This window comes from Homo sapiens, chromosome 7 (genome assembly GCF_000001405.40).
Source record: "Homo sapiens chromosome 7, GRCh38.p14 Primary Assembly".
Lineage (NCBI taxonomy): Eukaryota > Metazoa > Chordata > Mammalia > Primates > Hominidae > Homo > Homo sapiens.
Genome location: NC_000007.14, coordinates 152,016,551 through 152,032,759, shown reverse-complemented (window position 1 = coordinate 152,032,759; position 16,209 = coordinate 152,016,551). Strand labels below are relative to the sequence as shown.

Sequence of the window (16,209 nt, the reverse complement as noted above, 5' to 3'; positions counted from 1 at the left end):
GGTGTCACCTACTTGAGGAAGGAATCTACCTTGAAGTCTGGGCATTGGAAGGACAATTTGGAAGGGCAAAAAATGCCTGCCCAGTCCAAATCAGGTTAAAAGATCCCACCACATTTCCTTATCAAAGGCAATATCCCTTAAGGCCTGAAGCTCATAAAGGATTACAGGATATTGTTAAACATGTAAAAGCTCAAGGCTTAGTAAAGAAATGCAGCAGTCCCTGCAACACCCCAATTCTAGGAGTACAAAAACCGAACGGTCAGTGGAGTCTAGTGCAAGATCTTAGACTCATCAGTGAGGCAGTAATTCCTCTATATCCAGTTGTACCCAACCCCTATACCCTGCTCTCTCAAATACCAGAGGAAGCAGAATGGTTCCCTGTTCTGGACCTCAAGGATGCCTTCTTCTGTATTCCCCTGCACTATGACTCCCATGACTCCCAGTTTCTCTTTGCCTTTGAGGATCCCACAGACCACACATCCCAACTTATATGGACCGTCTTGCCCCAAGGGTTTAGGGATAGCCCTCATCTGTTTGGTCAGGCACTGGCCCAAGATCTAGGCCACTTCTCAAGTCCAGGCACTCTGGTCCTTCAGTATGTGGATGATTTACTTTTGGCTACCAGTTCGGAAGCCTCATGCCAGCAGGCTACTCTAGATCTCTTGAATTTTCTAGCTAATCAAGGGTACAAGGCATCTAGGTCAAAGGCCCAGCTTTGCCTACAGCAGGTCAAATATCTAGGCCTAATCTTAGCCAGAGGGACCAGGACCCTTGGCAAGGAACGAATACAGCCTATACTGGCTTATCCTCACCCTAAGACTTTAAAACAGTTGTGGGGGTTCCTTCAAATCACCGCTTTTGCCAACTATGGATCCCCAGATAGAGCAAGATAGCCAGGCCCCTCTATACTCTAATCAAGGAGACCCAGAGGGCAAATACTCATCTAGTAGAATGGGAACCAGAGGCAGAAACAGCCTTCAAAACCTTAAAGCAGGCCCTAGTACAAGCTCCAGCTTTAAGCCTTCCCACAGGACAAAACTTCTCTTTATACATCACAGAGAGAGCAGGGATAGCTCTTGGAGTCCTTACTCAGACTCGTGTCTGACAACTGGTGGCACACCTAGGTAAGGAAATTGATGTAGTAGCAAAAGGCTGGCCTCACTGTTTAAGGGTAGTTGCAGCAGTACCCATCCTAGTGTCAGAGGCTATCAAAATAATACAAGGAAAGGATCTCACTGTCTGGACTACTCATGATGTAAATGGCATAGTAAGTGCCAAAGGGAGTTTATGGCTATCAGACAACCACCTACTTAGATACCAGGCACTACTCCTTGAGGGACCGGTGCTTCAAATACATACATGCGTGGCCCTCAACCCTGCCACTTTTCTCCCAGAGGATGGGGAACCAATCGAGCATGACTGCCAACAAATTATAGTCCAGACTTATGCTGCCTGAGATGACCTCTTATAAGTCCCCTTAGCTAATCCTGACCTTAATCTATATACCAACAGAAGTTCATTTGTGGAGAATGGGATACGAAGGGCAGGTTATGCCATAGTTAGTGACGTAACCGTACTTGAAAGTAAGCCTCCTCCCCCAAGGACCAGCACCCAGTCAGGAGAACTAGTGGCACTTACCTGAGCCTTAGAACTGGGAAAGGGAAAAAGAATAAATGTGTATACAGGTAGCAAGTATGCTTATCTAATCCTACATGCCTGTGCTGCAATATGGAAAGAAAGGGAGTTTCTAACCTCTGGGGGAACCCCCATTAAATACCACAAGGAAACCATGGAGTTATTGCATGCAGTGCAAAAACCCAAGGAGGTGGCAGTCTTACACTGCCAAAGCCATCAAAACGGGAAGGAGAGGGGAGAACAGCAGCATAAGTGGCTGGCAGAGGAAGGGAAAGACCAGCAGAAAGGAAAGAGAGAAAGAAACAGAAAATCAGAGAGAGACACAGAGAGAGGAAGTGAGAGACAAAGGAGTCAGAGAGAAAGAAAGAGACAAAGTCAAAGAGACAGAGACAAAGAGAGAGTCAGAGAGAGAGACATAGAAAGGCAAAGAGAGAGAGGAAGAGACAGACAAAGAGGGACTCAGAGAGACAAAGAAGTCATCAAAGAGAAAGAGAGATAGAAGTAGTAAAGAAAAAACAGTGTACCCTATTGTGGGCGGCAAGCCACCCAGGTGCCGAGGCAAGAGACTGAGGGCACGAGCTGTTCCAGTATAAAATATATAAAATAAGAAGTTATACTAAATATAGATCATAGAGATGATTATATATGAATATCATTAATCATTAGTTTGTAGCAATTACTCTTTATTCCAATATTATAATAATCTTCACTCTACAATCATAACCTAGGAAAAACCAGGCCATACAGGGATAGGAGCTGAGGGGACATAGTGAGAAGTGACCAGAAGACAAGAGTTGAGGCTTCTGTTATGCTCGGACAGGGCCACCAGAGGGCTCCTTGGTCTAGTGGTAACACCAGCGTCCCGTGATCTAGCGGTAGCATCAGTGTCAAGGAAAAACACCCGCTACTTAGCAGACCAGGAAAGGGAGTCTCCCTTTCCCCGTGGGAGTTTACAGAAGACTCTACTCCTCTACCTCTTGTCTTTTCTTTTATCTCTGTCTTGTGTCTTTATTTCTACACTCTCTCGTCTCCGCACACGGGGAAAAAACCCACCGACCCTGTGGGGCTGGACCCTACACCCTATTCCTTTAAAAGCCACAGTAAAGTTAAAACCTATAACTGATAATTGAAGGCCTTCTCTGTAACTCTGTAACACTCCAATACCACCTTGTTGTCAGTGTAAACAAGGGCGTAGCCCAAAAGCACTGAGGCCACTGACAACCCATAGCCTTCCTATCAAAAATCCTTAACCCAGCAGGTTTCCTAACAGGGGATCTAAATCTTAACTAACTACCATACAAAGGTCCGACCAGATCTAGGAGGAACTCCCTTCAGGACAGGACCATAGATGGTTCCTCCTGGGTGATTAAGGAAAAAAGACACAAGGGGTATTCAGTAAATGATAAGGGAACTGTAGAAGCAGAGTTAGGAAAACTGCCTAATAATTGGTTTGCTCAAATGTGCGAGCTGTTTGCACTCAGCCAAACCTTAAAGTACTTACAGAATCAGGAAGGAGCCATCTATATCAATTCTAAGTTAATATGGACTGAACGAGGTCTTATTAATAGCAAAGAATAATTGAAATCCCAAACTTACAAGGTTTTCAACAAAAGTAAAGTTTGCTAAAAGTTAACAGTGTAAACATATATTATTCTAACTTCTAATCTTGTGGAAATCAGACCCTATCAGTACCCCTCAAAGCTCAAGTCCGTCAGTGCAGAGCCATACAACTAATACCCCTACCTATAGGGTTAGAAATGGCCACTGCTACAGGAACTGGAATAGCCAGTTTACCTACTTCATTATCCTACTACCACACTCTCAAAGGATTTCTCAAGAGAGTTTGCAAGAAATAACAAAATCTATCCAGTAAGGATAGTAACTACAATTCCAAATAGACTCTTTGGCAGCAATGACTCTCCAAAACCACCGAGGCCTAGACCTCCTCACTGCTGAGAAAGGAGGACTCTGCACCTTCTTAGGGGAAGAGTGTTGTTTTTACACTAACCAGTCAGGGATAGTATGAGATGCCACCCAACATTTATAGGAAAAGGCTTCTGAAATCAGACGCCTTTCAAACTCTTACACCAACCTCTGGAGTTGGACAACATGGCTTCTCCCCTTTCTAGGTCCTGTGGCAGCCATCTTGCTATTACTTGCCTTCGGGCCCTGTATTTTTAACCTCCTTTTCAAATTTGTTTCCTCTAGAATTGAGACCATCAAGCTACAGATGGTCTTACAAATGGAACTCCAAATGAGCTCAACTAAACTTCTACCAGGACCCCTGGACCAACCTGCTGGCCCTTTCACTGGCCTAAAGAGTTCCCCTCTGGAGGACACTACAATTGCAGGGCCCCTTCTTCACCCCTATCCAGCAGGAAGTAGCTACAGCAGTCATTGGCCAAATTCCCAACAGCAGTTGGGGTGTCCTGTTTAGAGGGGGGGGATTGAGAGGTGAAGCTGGCTGTGCTTCTGGGTCGGGTGGGGACTTGGAGAACTACTCTGTCTAAAGGATTGTAAATGCACCAATCAGGGCTCTGTGTCTAGCTAAAGGTTTGTAAACACACCAATCAGTGCTCTGTGTCTAGCTAATCGGGTAGGGGACTTGGAGAACTTTTCAGTCTAGCTAAAGGATTGTAAATGCACCAATCAGTGCTCTGTGACTAGCTAACTGGGTAGCAGACTTGGAGAACTTTTCTGTCTAGCTAAAGGATTGTAAATGCACCAATCAGCGCTCTGTGTCTAGCTAAAGGTTTGTAAACGCACCAATCAGCACTCTGTAAAAACCGACCAATTAGCACTCTGTAAAACAGACCAATCAGCACTCTGTAAAACAGAGCAATCAGCACTCTAAAATGGACTAATCAGCTCTCTGTAAAATGGACCAATCAGCAGGATGTGGGTGGGGCCAAATAAGGGAATAAAAGCAGGCCACTGGAGCCAGCAGCGGCAACCTGCTCGGGTCCCCTTCCATGCTGTGGAAGCTTTGCTCTTTCATTCTTTGCAATAAATCTTGCTGCTGCTCACTCTTTGGGTCTGCACTAACTTTATGAGCTGTAACACTGACTGTGAAGGTCTGTGGCTTCACTCCTGAAGTCAGTGAGACCACAAACCTACTGCGAGGAACAAACAACTCTCGACATGCCACCTTTAAGACCTGTAACACTCACTGCGAAGGTCTGCAGGTTGACTCCTGAAGTCAGTGAGCTCATGAACCCACTGGGAGGAAAAAACAACTCCAGACGTGCCACCTTTAAGAGCTGTAACACTCACTGCAAAGGTCTGCGGCTTCATCCCTGAAGTCAGCAAGACCACGAACCCACCAGAAGGAAGAAACTCTGGACACATCTGAACATCAGAAGGAACAAACTCTCGACATACCATCTTTAAGAACTGTAACACTCACCGCGACAGTCCGTGGCTTCATTCTTGAAGTCAGCGAGACCAAGAATCCACTGGAAGGAACCAATTCCGGACACATTTACGCAGCAGCCACGTCAGACTGGGACACTTCCTGCTTACAGAGGACTATAAAACCCCTTCCTCACTTGGGGCTGATGCTATTATAAAACCCATTCCTCACTTGGGGCTGATGCCATTTAGGCATAAACCCGTCTGCACCCAGGCGCTTATTAAAACAGCATGTTGCTCCACACCGCCTCATGTCGTGGGGGTTGTTGGTGCGTCATCGGGGTTCAAACCAATACAAGAGCCTTGCAGGTTGTTTGTAGCACTAACAAAGGATAAATGCTTGAGAAGATGGATACCCTGCTTATCCTGATGTGATTATGCATTCTATGCCATATCAAATATCTCATGTACCTATAAATACATATGCCTACTATGTACCCACAAAAATTAAAAATAAATTTTTTTGAGATGGAGTCTCGCTCTGTCACCCAGGATGGAGTGCAGTGGCGTGATCTCGGCTCACTGCAAGCTCTGCCTCCTCGATTCACGCCATTCTCCTGCCTCAGCCTCCCAAGTAGCTGGGATTACAGGCGCCTGCCACCACGCCCGGCTTATTTTTTGTATTTTTAGTAGAGACGGGATTTCACCGTGTTAGCCAGGATGGTCTTGATCTCCTGACCTCGTGATCCGCTCGCCTTGGCCTTCCAAAGTGCTGGGATTACAGGCGTGAGCCACCGCACCCGGCTAATAAAAAAATTTTTAAAGAGATTTATTCTGAGCGAAATGAGTGTCTATGGCCCATGACACTGCCCTCAAGAGATCCTGAGAGCATGTACCCAAGGTGGTGGGGGCACAGCCTAGTTTTATACATTGTAGGGGAACATGAGTCTTCAATCAAATACAGGTATAGACTAGTTCGGGCAGGAAAGGTGGGACAACTCAAAGTGGCGGCTTCCAGGTCATGGGTAAGATGAGAGACAAACGGCTACATTCTTTTGAGCCTCTGCTCTGCCTTTTACTGAACACACAATTTACGCCATGGGGCAGGCAGAGGAATAGCCACTTGTGCCTTAGTCTGGCTCAGTGAATCTGCATTTTTACATAAATACAGGGCAGAGGAAGCCGTCAGACATGCATCTGTCTCAGGTGAGCAGAAGGATGACTTGAGTTCTGTCCCTGTTCCTCACCTGCGAAGACAAGCTGTCAATTTACACTGCCAGGGTGCAATTCCACACAACTGTTTCAGGGTAAAGATGTGGAGGTCCACAGCGAATTTCCTCCTGGCCAAAGGGTGAGGGAGCTGTGTGGCTTTTTATCTTTGCAGCTGTCTTAGGAACAAAACTTAGGGGCAGGTTTGCCTGACGCAGCTCCCAGCTTGACTTTGGCTTAGTGATTTGGGGTCCCGAGATTAAATTTCCTTCCACACTATTCTCCCTAGTTTTGTGTATGTGTGAACTATTCTATTTCTGGGCACTTTTAATTTTAAAAAGTGGACAATACTGATCTGGACTTCATTTTAGGAAATGCTGGGGGAGGCTGCAGGATCAGGTGTGCCTCCGTCCTAAATACGCGAAAACGAGGCCAGCGCCCTGGTCCTCGCCCCCACGCCCGCGAACAAGCCTCAGGAGACGCTGGGGGAGGCGCGGGGGCAGCGGCGTCTCCCGGAGACACGAGCCTCGCCCAGGGGGCGTGCGGGAGCCCAGGACCCGCGGGGAGCCAGGCGCTGCCCCGCCGCCGCCCCCAGCCTGCCCAGGCCCCGCGCGCCGCCGCCGCCGCAGCTCTCGAGGTGCTGAGGGACGCCGGGAGGCCGCCGCCTAGAGGGTACTCACCGCCTTGCCCGCAGCCCAGGATCGCCGCCTTCTGGGACTCGGGCTGCGGCATCTTCTCTCCCGCCACAGCCCCAGTCCGACCCGCAGGAGCGGCGCGGGCTGAACTGCCCCGGGGCCCAGCAGCCAGGCGTCGCGCAGGCGCTGGGCGCAGTGGCGGCCGCGCCTCCTCAGGCCCAGGGCCCTCGCCCAGTCCCCGAGCCGCTGCCTCCGCCCAGCGCCGCGCGTCCGCCGGCGCCGCGTGACAGGCGGCCCCGCCCCCGCGCCGCGGTGACGAAACCTCTCGCTGCCCTGACGTCACCGGCCGCCGCGCGCTGAGTCCTCCCTAGCGTTCGCGCAGAGGCGCCGCGCGTGGCCTGGCTCCTGTTGTCTGTCACCCGCGGTCTCAAAAGACCCCATTAATGACAAATGCCCTGCCTGTGGCCCCGGCTACTCCGGAGGCTGAGGCGGGAGCAGCGCTTGAGCCCGGGAGCTCTGCGCTGTATGCGCTGTGCCCATTGCGCGGCGACACGCATCTGTGTTCCGCATCGGTGTGGTGACCTCCCGGGAGCAGGGACCACCAGGTTCCCCAAGGAGTGGGGAACTGGCCCAGCTCGGAAACCGGGCAGGGCAAAACTCCTGTGCTGATCGGTAGCGGGATCGCGCCTGTGAATAGCCACTGCCCTCCAGCCTGGGCAATACAGCGAGACCCCATAAGTGAAAAAAAAAAAAAAAGACAAATGCCCTTAAACATATTAAAAGAAGTTAAACGCCACTTGTGATAGAAGAAAATGTAGATTAAGGTGTAAAGAGAGAAGTGGTGAAAAAAACACTCATACCTTGGTGATAATAGTGCAATGTATACAAATACCATAAAAGGGGAATTGGCAATTTTTAAGAAAAATGGTGTGGGCATTCATCTTTGGCCAATAATGCCAAGTTATATTGAAGAATATCTTAATACTAATCTTCTTTGCATTTCTGAAATAAATCCCACTTGGTTAAGAATATTTTTGAACTTTTTTAAAGAACTCATTGCTTCACAATTAAAGTCTGATGGGGTACACGCGTAGCAATGGAGGAACTTCTACAGCTACTATAAATTAAAGAGCACCACCTGAACCAAAGTAGTGGCCTTCTTGAGCTGAACTGAGCTAACCACATTCCCCAGCCCCTCTTCCACAGATACCCCATGGGGTTGTCAGGGTGTAGGGGATGCCATGTTGTACCACCCAGGTTTCCCCTTAAGGACTGAGGACTCATTTCTCCAGTTGTTGGGTGTGTAGGCCGCTGATGGCCCCCAGCTGAGTCTTGTGGCCACTTCCCTCAGCCAAAGAGAACTGCTGCTGGGTGCCAAGTTGAATGCTTTTGACTCCTTCTACCATGCTTGTGTCTTGATTGGAGATTGACAGATATTTCAGGTACTGGTTTCTCTTGCAAGGGCAGTGCAGACAGCACACAGGTATCTTTGCCCAGTTTCCTTCAATGGTTGCAGCTCATGTAAAATATACATAGTATAATATCAAATAAGCGTCATTGGGGATCAATCCTGCTGGGATCCCCCTCAGAAACTATTCACAGCAGTGGCAGGCAAACTAGGGCAAAGTCTACTAGGTATATTTAAAAGTGTATTACAAGTTTATTTAAATACATAAATATGTTTCCAGAAAGTAATCCTTCCAACTACCTAAACTAGTAATGAAAAATGTTAAATATCACCTTAAATATGTATAAGGGGATACTAAGTTCTTGTATTTAAACCTTATTATTTTAGTATATACTCAAGCAAAAGAGTTTGAAGACCAGACCTTTAGGGCCTCACTACTCAAATGGTGGTCCAGCAACAAGCGACACCAACGTCACCTGGAGTGTGTTAGAAATGGGGAGTCTTGTGCTCCACCTACTTAATTAAAATCTGCATTTTTACCAAGATTTCCAGGTGATTTATACACAAATTAACATTTGAAATCATGCTCTAGGATTAATCAGGGCATGTAAATTTCCATTGTTTCATCTTCTCCTGACCCTTGATAGTATCAGATATTTAAATATTTGCCAACCTGATGAGTATGAGATGCATCTGTTTATTACTTTAAATACTATTCTACCTGATTAATGTGCAATAATTACTTAACCATTATTCTCGTAATTGAGGATTTGGGTTAGCTCCAATTTTTCACTATCATACAGAATGACACTAAAATGCTCTTTTCAGCGTATCATTCTGGTTAAACACAATCTTTGAGGCCACGCTGATTAGGATCATGTAAGGGCCGTGTTATTGTTTGTCCTTGGATACAGTTGCCAGATGAAATACAGGATGGCCTGAAATTTGAATTCCAGATTAAGAATAATTTTGTGGTTTAAGTATATCCTGTGCAATATGTGAGAGGCTTGTCTTCATCTGTGCTGCCATAATAAAATACCTGAGACTAGGTAGTTTAAAAACAAATTTGTTTTCCCACTCTCCTGGAGGCTGGGAAGTACAAGATCCAGCAGCCGTATCTGGTAGGCTGCTGGTGAGGGCTTTGTGCTACATCATAACGTGGCAGAGAATCGGAAGAGGAAGCGCGCACTGGCTAAAGGGGCAATGTTACTTATTAACAACCCGCTCTCAAGGTACCTAATCCAGTCTCAAGAGACTGGGAACTCTCAGTGACTGCGTTAATCTTTTCATGGGGGGCTGGTCCCTCATGGCTCAAATGCCTCTTAAAGGTCCTACTCTGTCTCAACACTGTTACCCTGGGGTCCAAGCCTCAACATGAATTTTGGTGGGGATAAAAGGTATTCAAACTGTAGTGCTGTTGCTTTGTCAGTTGTTTCAACATGAATTATGGAAGACACATTCAGAATGTAGCCATATGTACAGTAAAATGTTATTGTCTATTTGAAATTCAAGTTTAACCAGGCATCCTGTATTTTTATTAGCCAAATAGGGCAACGTTAACCTGGGCACATTCTAACCATCGTTTTCTCATCTATGAAATGAGGATAGCAGTAGAACTCATAAAGTTGTTGTATGAATGAAAGGAGATAATCCATGCAGACTACTTATAACAGAGTATGAAACGTAGTAAAAGCTCAGCAAATGTCAGCTCTTCTTAGTTGTTGTTTCATACAGGTGTGTCTTGGGATAAATTCCTAGAAGGATGTTTTAGTTACAGAACTCCTGGGCTTAATTTCAGACTTGTTTGAGCATTCCATCATACCAAAAACTGTTTTGTAAGAAACCCTAAGCAGGTTACCAGATACTTTTCAACTAGCTTCAAAATACAAATCAGATTTTTAAATTTCCACACAAAAACAAAAAATTGCCATCTATAGGCAAGTATCAATTTCCCTTTAATCACACCAAATATTTGGATATTGATTCTGATTTCTTTTCTATTTTAGGGTCAACTGAAGCAATATTTAAGAAGATACTGTCCAAGGGACATGCTGAACAATTTCTAGGACTTATCTGTGTTATCTAGTACCTAAACTAAATTACATTACAAAACTAAGACTTAATATTAGGCCCACGGCTTTTAACAAAAGAGAACACTCCTGTCTTTTGCTTTTGGGAAAGCTGATATTTACAGCATCCATTCTTTATGCTTACCAGAAAAAAAATATACTTTTTAATGTTACATATATATCATTTATATATTACATATAATAATTATATATAACATATATATATTCTCAAATTTCAACTAGAAAAAAACTGTTACTTTAAGAAGATACTCCATATTTATACTACTATAATTCTCTTTTATTTTTTCAGCTACAAGATTTCTATTTTGCTTTTTGTTTGTTTGTTTTTTGAGACAGTCTCTGTCACCCAGGCTGGAGTGCAGTGGTGTGATCTTGGTCTTGGTCTCGGCTCACTGCAACCTCCACCTCCCATGTTCAAGCGATTCTTGTGCCTCCCAAATAGCTGGGATTACAGGCACGTGCCACTGAGCCGGGTTCTGTTTTGCTTTTTTTTTTTTTTTCCTGACGGAGTCTCACTCCGTCGCCCAGGCTAGAGTGCAGTGGTGCAATCTCAGCTCACTGCAACCTCTGCCTCCCAGGTTCAAGCAATTCTCCTGCCTCAGCCTCCTGAGTAGCTAGGATTACAGGCGTGCGCCACCATGCCCAGCTAATTTTTTTGTATTTTTAGTAGAGACCGGGTTTCACCATGTTGGCCAGGCTGATCTCAAACTCCTGATCTCGTGATCCACCCGCCTCAGCCTCCCAAAGTGCTGGGATTACAGACGTGAGCCACCGCGCCTGGCCTGTTTTGCATTTTATCATAATTTTAGTAGACTCATGGGTTTATTATGATTAATTTTTAAATGACTTTCTAGAGGCAGGAAAGGTATAAATAATATATGGGCCAAGAATACAATCAAGCGTGGCACTCGTTTTGTGCTGCCAGATCAACCTTTTAAAGGATCAATCAAGTGGCTGTCTGTAATAGATCAGCTCATGTCTGTCTAGCAATAGATTTTATGCAGTATTTTGCTAAATAGATAGGTATAAAGGGGTTATTTGCGGCCGGGCGCAGTAGCTCACACCTGTAATCCCAGCACTTTAGGAGGCCGAGGCGGGTGGATCACCTGAGGTCAGGAGTTCAAGACCAGCCTGGCCAACATGATGAAACCACATCTCTACTAAAAATACAAAAATTAGTTGGGCATGGTGGTGGGTGCCTGTAATCCCAGCTACTTGGGAGGCTGAGGTATGAGAATCACTTGAACCCGGGAGGTGGAGGTTGCAGTGAGCCGAGATCGGGCTACTGCACTCCAGCCTGGGCAACAAGAGTGAAACTCTGTCTGCAAAAAAAAAAAAAAAAAACTTCATTCCCAGCAACTAGAAGAATACCTGTCTGATTGAAGGAGCTCAATAGATGATTCAAATTGTTTTTCTGCTGTAAAAACTAACTTACCTTCTTTCCAGCATAGACTATTCTCTTCCACTTTTTTTTTTTTTGCCCCTTTCAATGTGTTTCTTCTCTCATTATCTGTCTCTCTTTCTGAATTCAGTGTCTTTCACCTTCTTAGCCACCATCACCAGCGTAAAACCAACAGTGATCTGTCTAACTCCAAAGATGCCAAAGAAGTACTTTGGACATCTGAGAATGTGTTTACACAGGACAGACAAGTCACCCAGCTGCTGCTTCCCTGATCCCAGCTAAACAGTTTACCAAGAGTCAAGAAGTGTCTGGAGAGCTGGAGGCCAGAGCCATAGGAGGAGACAGACATGAAAAAGGCAAAATTGGCCGGGCGTGGTGGCTCATGCCTGTAATCCCAGCACTTCGGGAGGCCGAGGCGGCCGGATCACAAGGTCAAAAGATCGAGACCATCCTGGCCAACATGGTGAAACCCTGTCTCTACTAAAAATACAAAAATTAGCTGGGCATGGTGGTGTGCGCCTGTAATCCCAGGTACTTGGGAGGCTGAGGCAGGAGAATTGCTTGAACCCGGGAGGCAGAGGTTGCAGTGAGCCGAGATTATAACACTATGCTCCAGCCTGGCGACAGAGCGAGACTCACAGAAGACGGAGTATCTTCAGATGACAGAAGGGCTGGCAGGAACAGATGGGGAAGCTGGCCTGGAGAGCTGACCAGACACCCAGGCAGGTGGACTGGACGCCAGATGTTCAGGTATGCAGCTGAGTAAGGTGTCGTTACCAGAATCTACCCTGGCAGGAAGAAAGGAGCTTGCTGCAGCTCAGCCAAAGTCACGAGAGCATGGCTCCCTAAGAAGCCAATCGCGACAGATTGTCTGGGGCAGAAGCCGGGTTGGCAAAGGGAAAGCAGTCCCTACAGTCTACCAGGGCCAGGTGGCTGTGGTAAACAAATGCACTTTAACTCAGTCAGCTGTATGATAGAGTCGTAACTGTGTGACCACTTACCTTTCTAATGTTCAAGGTCTTGTCACCTCAGAGATTCAGTAGCAGATGAGTAACAAAGTATCAAGAATTTTCATTGAAGGGAAAATAAAGGCACTCACGTCTGGTCATATTTTTTTAATTGCATTTCACGTAATTCCACGATGTTCCAAACTTACACTCTTGTGACACTATGTTGAATGACTAGGAGACTTTTAACCCTTTATTAATGAAAGTGATTTGTTTTCCTTTCACAGGCTGTTCACAGATGCCTCCAACTCTGGGAAGACATTATCCAAATACCACTGAAATGACTTGCAACCCAGTCGTTTCCTTAACTCAACACGCTCGCGAATATTTCCGTAGGTGACATATTTCAGACCAGGCTTTCGAAGAAAAAACTGCTCCTAAATGAAAATATAGAGTCAGTCGTTACGTTCAACCAAACAAATCTTTGCTGATCAAATGATTATATCTAACATAGACGCATGTATTTTCATCATGTGAACTAAAAAAGCCCTCCAGATCCCAATTTTTTTCTGTCTAGGGAATGAAGGCAGAGACATACTATGGGACCTCGGATTTACCCACCCTGCATATGTTCACAGCACGTGCCATGGCACCCTAGCGGGATCCAGGAAGACTGGGTCCTGCTTCTCAGGAGCCAAAGAAGCACAGCCACCTATTGCGGTATCCCCTTTCTCCTGTTTTTTCAACAATACCCAAGGACAAACCCCGTTAGTCCCTGGTCCTCATCAGTATGTTTGTCTTTTCAGAAATGGGGGATGATGTAGTAAAGGGAGAATAGATCCTGCAGGAGTACAGCCTGGATTCAAAGTCTGGCCCTGCCATTCAGGGTCTGTGTGACCCTAGGCAAGTCTTCCCCTTGCGAAGTGCTTGTGAGGGTTGAACAGTCTAATAGGGACATGCAAAGCCCCTGGGCGAGCATGGTTGGCACATACTAAGTGTCATGTCTGAGGTGGTCATTATTACCACACTTGGTTAGTTTTTTGTGTGCTCTGACTTAAGGAAGCCCCAAGAATGAATGTCTAATGGACTCTGTTGGCCCCATGTTGAAAAAAGGTATTCTAAGTAGACTGAAGCCCTTCGCAAACAGAACCCTTATCTTTTCATCTGTGTTTTCCCAGGCCTGGCATTCAGGGTAGTGATAGTGTTGAATGACAGAAGGAGTTTGCTCATCCAAATTAATGTATTATGGGCATGCCATATTGGATTCTCCCTGGGGATCCGTGACCACTGTAGGTCTTTGCCATCGCATTCTGCCACCCCTAGGTCCCCAGGGTGGATTGGTGCAGGGGGTGAGCCTGCAGGTGGGGGAGGATGCCATAATTTTGGAGACAAGACAGCATGGATGACCTTAGGCACATCTTCCTGTCCAAAGCCCTCTCTTGTCCCAATCAGTCACTAAATTTCCCATTGTGCTGTATTATGCAATCCATTGATTTTTATACTTAACACGTCATATCCCTTTAAGTTAACTTTTTGCTCTGTGAAAGTCAGTAAACCATGCAGAAATAGCTATGTTCAATTCAACCATCTAGATCCCTGACCAGCGTTCACAGAAAAAAAAAATCAACAAACATGAAAATAAGCTCAAGAGTTGTCGTAATGAAATACAATTTTAAACAATGAGATGTTTTTTAACCTATCTGATTAAAACAAACAAACAAACAGTTCAGCTATAACCAATATGAGGAGACAGGCACTTTCGTATACATTTGATGGCAGCACAGATGACGAGACAGACAGTGAAGATCATTTGGATATTACCCCATCAGGATTTAAAATGCACTAACTCTTGCCCCAGCAAGTTCATGTCTTGAATTTATTCCAAAGATATATTTGCAAAAATATGCACAAAAAAGTATGTCAATAATTCTCATTTCAAGGCTGGGCGTGGTGGCTTATGCCTGTAATCCCAGCACTTTGGGAGGCCAAGGCAGGCAGATCATGAGGTCAGGAGTTCAAGACCAGCCTGGCCAATATGGTGAAACCCCGTCTCTGTTAAAAATATAAAAAATGAGCTGGGTGTGGTGGCATGCACCTGTAGTCCCAGCTATTCGGGAGGCTGAGGCAGGAGAATCACTGAACGTGGGAGGTGGAGGTTGCAGTGAGCCGAGATTGCATCACCGCACTCCAGCCTGGGTGACAGAGCAAGACTCTGTTTCAAAAGAAAGAAAAAAAAAAAGAATTCTCATTTGAGGATTGTCAAGAAAATAGCAAAAAGCCGAGGAAATCAGAATGCTTATCAACTGGTACTATTTATTAATGGGATCAATTTTGGTAGATCCAGTTAAAGGAACTATTTAAAAAAATGAGATATGTTTATATGTTCTGATTTTGAAAGACAATTTGAAAGCCCCCTGCTTTTTCTTTCCTGATCATTGCCCTTTTCCTTCGTTTTACATTCTATCTTGATTACGTATTAATTTCTTTTTATTCTAGCTTTGATATCTGATTATTCATGCACAAATTATAGGTTTAATTTTACCCATTTGAACTTTACAGGAAGGAAATAATACAGTATAAGTTCCGTTGTGTTTGGCTGCTTTCATTCACCATTACATCTCTGAAATTTACCTATGCTCTTGTAGGTACAGTCATGTACCACGTGATGAAGTTTCAGTCAACGCCTGACCATGTACATAATGGTAGTCCCATAAGATTATAATACCATACTTTTACTGTACCTTTTATTTAGATATGTTTAGATACACAAATACTTACCATTGTGTTACAACTGCCTACAGTGTTCAGTAGAGTCACATGCCATACAGGTTTGTAGCCTGGGAGCAATGGGCCATACCATATAGCCAAGGTGTGCAATGGGCTATACCATCTCCATCTAGGTTTGTGTAGGTACACGCTATGATGGTCCCACAACAATGAAATCACCTAATGATGATTTCTCATAATATATTCCCATCGTTAAGTGAGACATGACTATACACTATAGTTGGTTTTCTTTCTTTTCTTTTCTTTTTTTTTTTTTTGAGATGGAGCTTTGCTCTTGTCACCCTGGTTGGAGTGCGGTGGTGTGATCTTGGCTCACTGCAACCTCTACCTCCTGGGTTCAAGCAATTCTCCAGCTTCAGCCTCCCGAGTAGCTGGGATTACAGGTGCCCACCACCATGCCCGGCTAATTTTTTTTGTATTTTTAGTAGAGATGAGGTTTCACCACATTGGCCAGGCTGGTCTTGAACTCCTGGCCTCAGGTGATCCATCCGCCTTGGCCTCCCTAAGTGCTGAAATTACAAGTGTGAGCCACCATGCCCAGCCCAGTTAATTTTCATTGCTGTATAGGATTATAGCGACTAAATATATCACAGTTGTCCACTGTACTGTTGATGAGTATTTGTATTGTATTAAGTTTTAGCTAAAACAAATAATGCTGTTTATTAGTTTTCTTGTTCATGTGTCCTGGTGCACAAAAGCATGCGCTTCTGTAGCATATGCATGAGCAGAACTGCTGAATCACAAG

The 16,209-nt window shown here is 45.2% G+C and overlaps 2 protein-coding genes across 30 annotated transcripts in view, besides 2 other annotated features; both read right to left on the bottom strand.

Moving 5' to 3' along the window:
• Positions 1 to 7,086, bottom strand: part of GALNT11 (polypeptide N-acetylgalactosaminyltransferase 11) — a 96,667-nt gene extending 89,581 nt beyond the window's left edge. For 18 of the 23 annotated variants that reach the window (NR_163956.1, NR_163959.1, NR_163957.1 and 15 more), the window contains exon 1: positions 6,876 to 7,086. Coding sequence is in view for 1 of the 23 variants with exons in the window: in NM_001304514.2 (NP_001291443.1) it covers positions 6,876 to 6,927 (52 nt within the window). In the remaining 22 variants the exon portion in view is untranslated. Of the gene's footprint in view, positions 1 to 5,041; positions 5,164 to 5,725; positions 5,791 to 6,875 lie in introns of all 23 variants that reach the window. The other 5 variants (NM_001371459.1, NM_001371468.1, NM_001371472.1 and 2 more) reach the window with 3 other exon arrangements.
• Positions 6,552 to 7,251: a silencer, noted in NCBI's record as "silent region_18829". NCBI's record gives its function as "represses an Ori minimal core promoter by ATAC-STARR-seq in GM12878 lymphoblastoid cells {active_cell/tissue: GM12878}" and the evidence as "EXISTENCE:reporter gene assay evidence [ECO:0000049][PMID:35858748]".
• Positions 8,102 to 8,396: a silencer, noted in NCBI's record as "tiled region #5574; K562 Repressive DNase matched - State 12:CtcfO". NCBI's record gives its function as "represses a minimal TATA promoter and a strong SV40 promoter by Sharpr-MPRA in K562 cells {active_cell/tissue: K562}" and the evidence as "EXISTENCE:reporter gene assay evidence [ECO:0000049][PMID:27701403]".
• The window catches only part of GALNTL5 (polypeptide N-acetylgalactosaminyltransferase like 5), a 63,484-nt gene continuing 60,105 nt past the window's right edge, over positions 12,831 to 16,209 (bottom strand). For all 7 annotated transcript variants that reach the window (NR_033169.2, XM_006715862.5, NM_145292.4 and 4 more), the window contains one exon: positions 12,831 to 13,114. Coding sequence is in view for 6 of the 7 variants with exons in the window: in XM_006715862.5 (XP_006715925.1) it covers positions 12,959 to 13,114 (156 nt within the window). In the remaining variant the exon portion in view is untranslated. The remainder of the gene's footprint in view (positions 13,115 to 16,209) is intronic.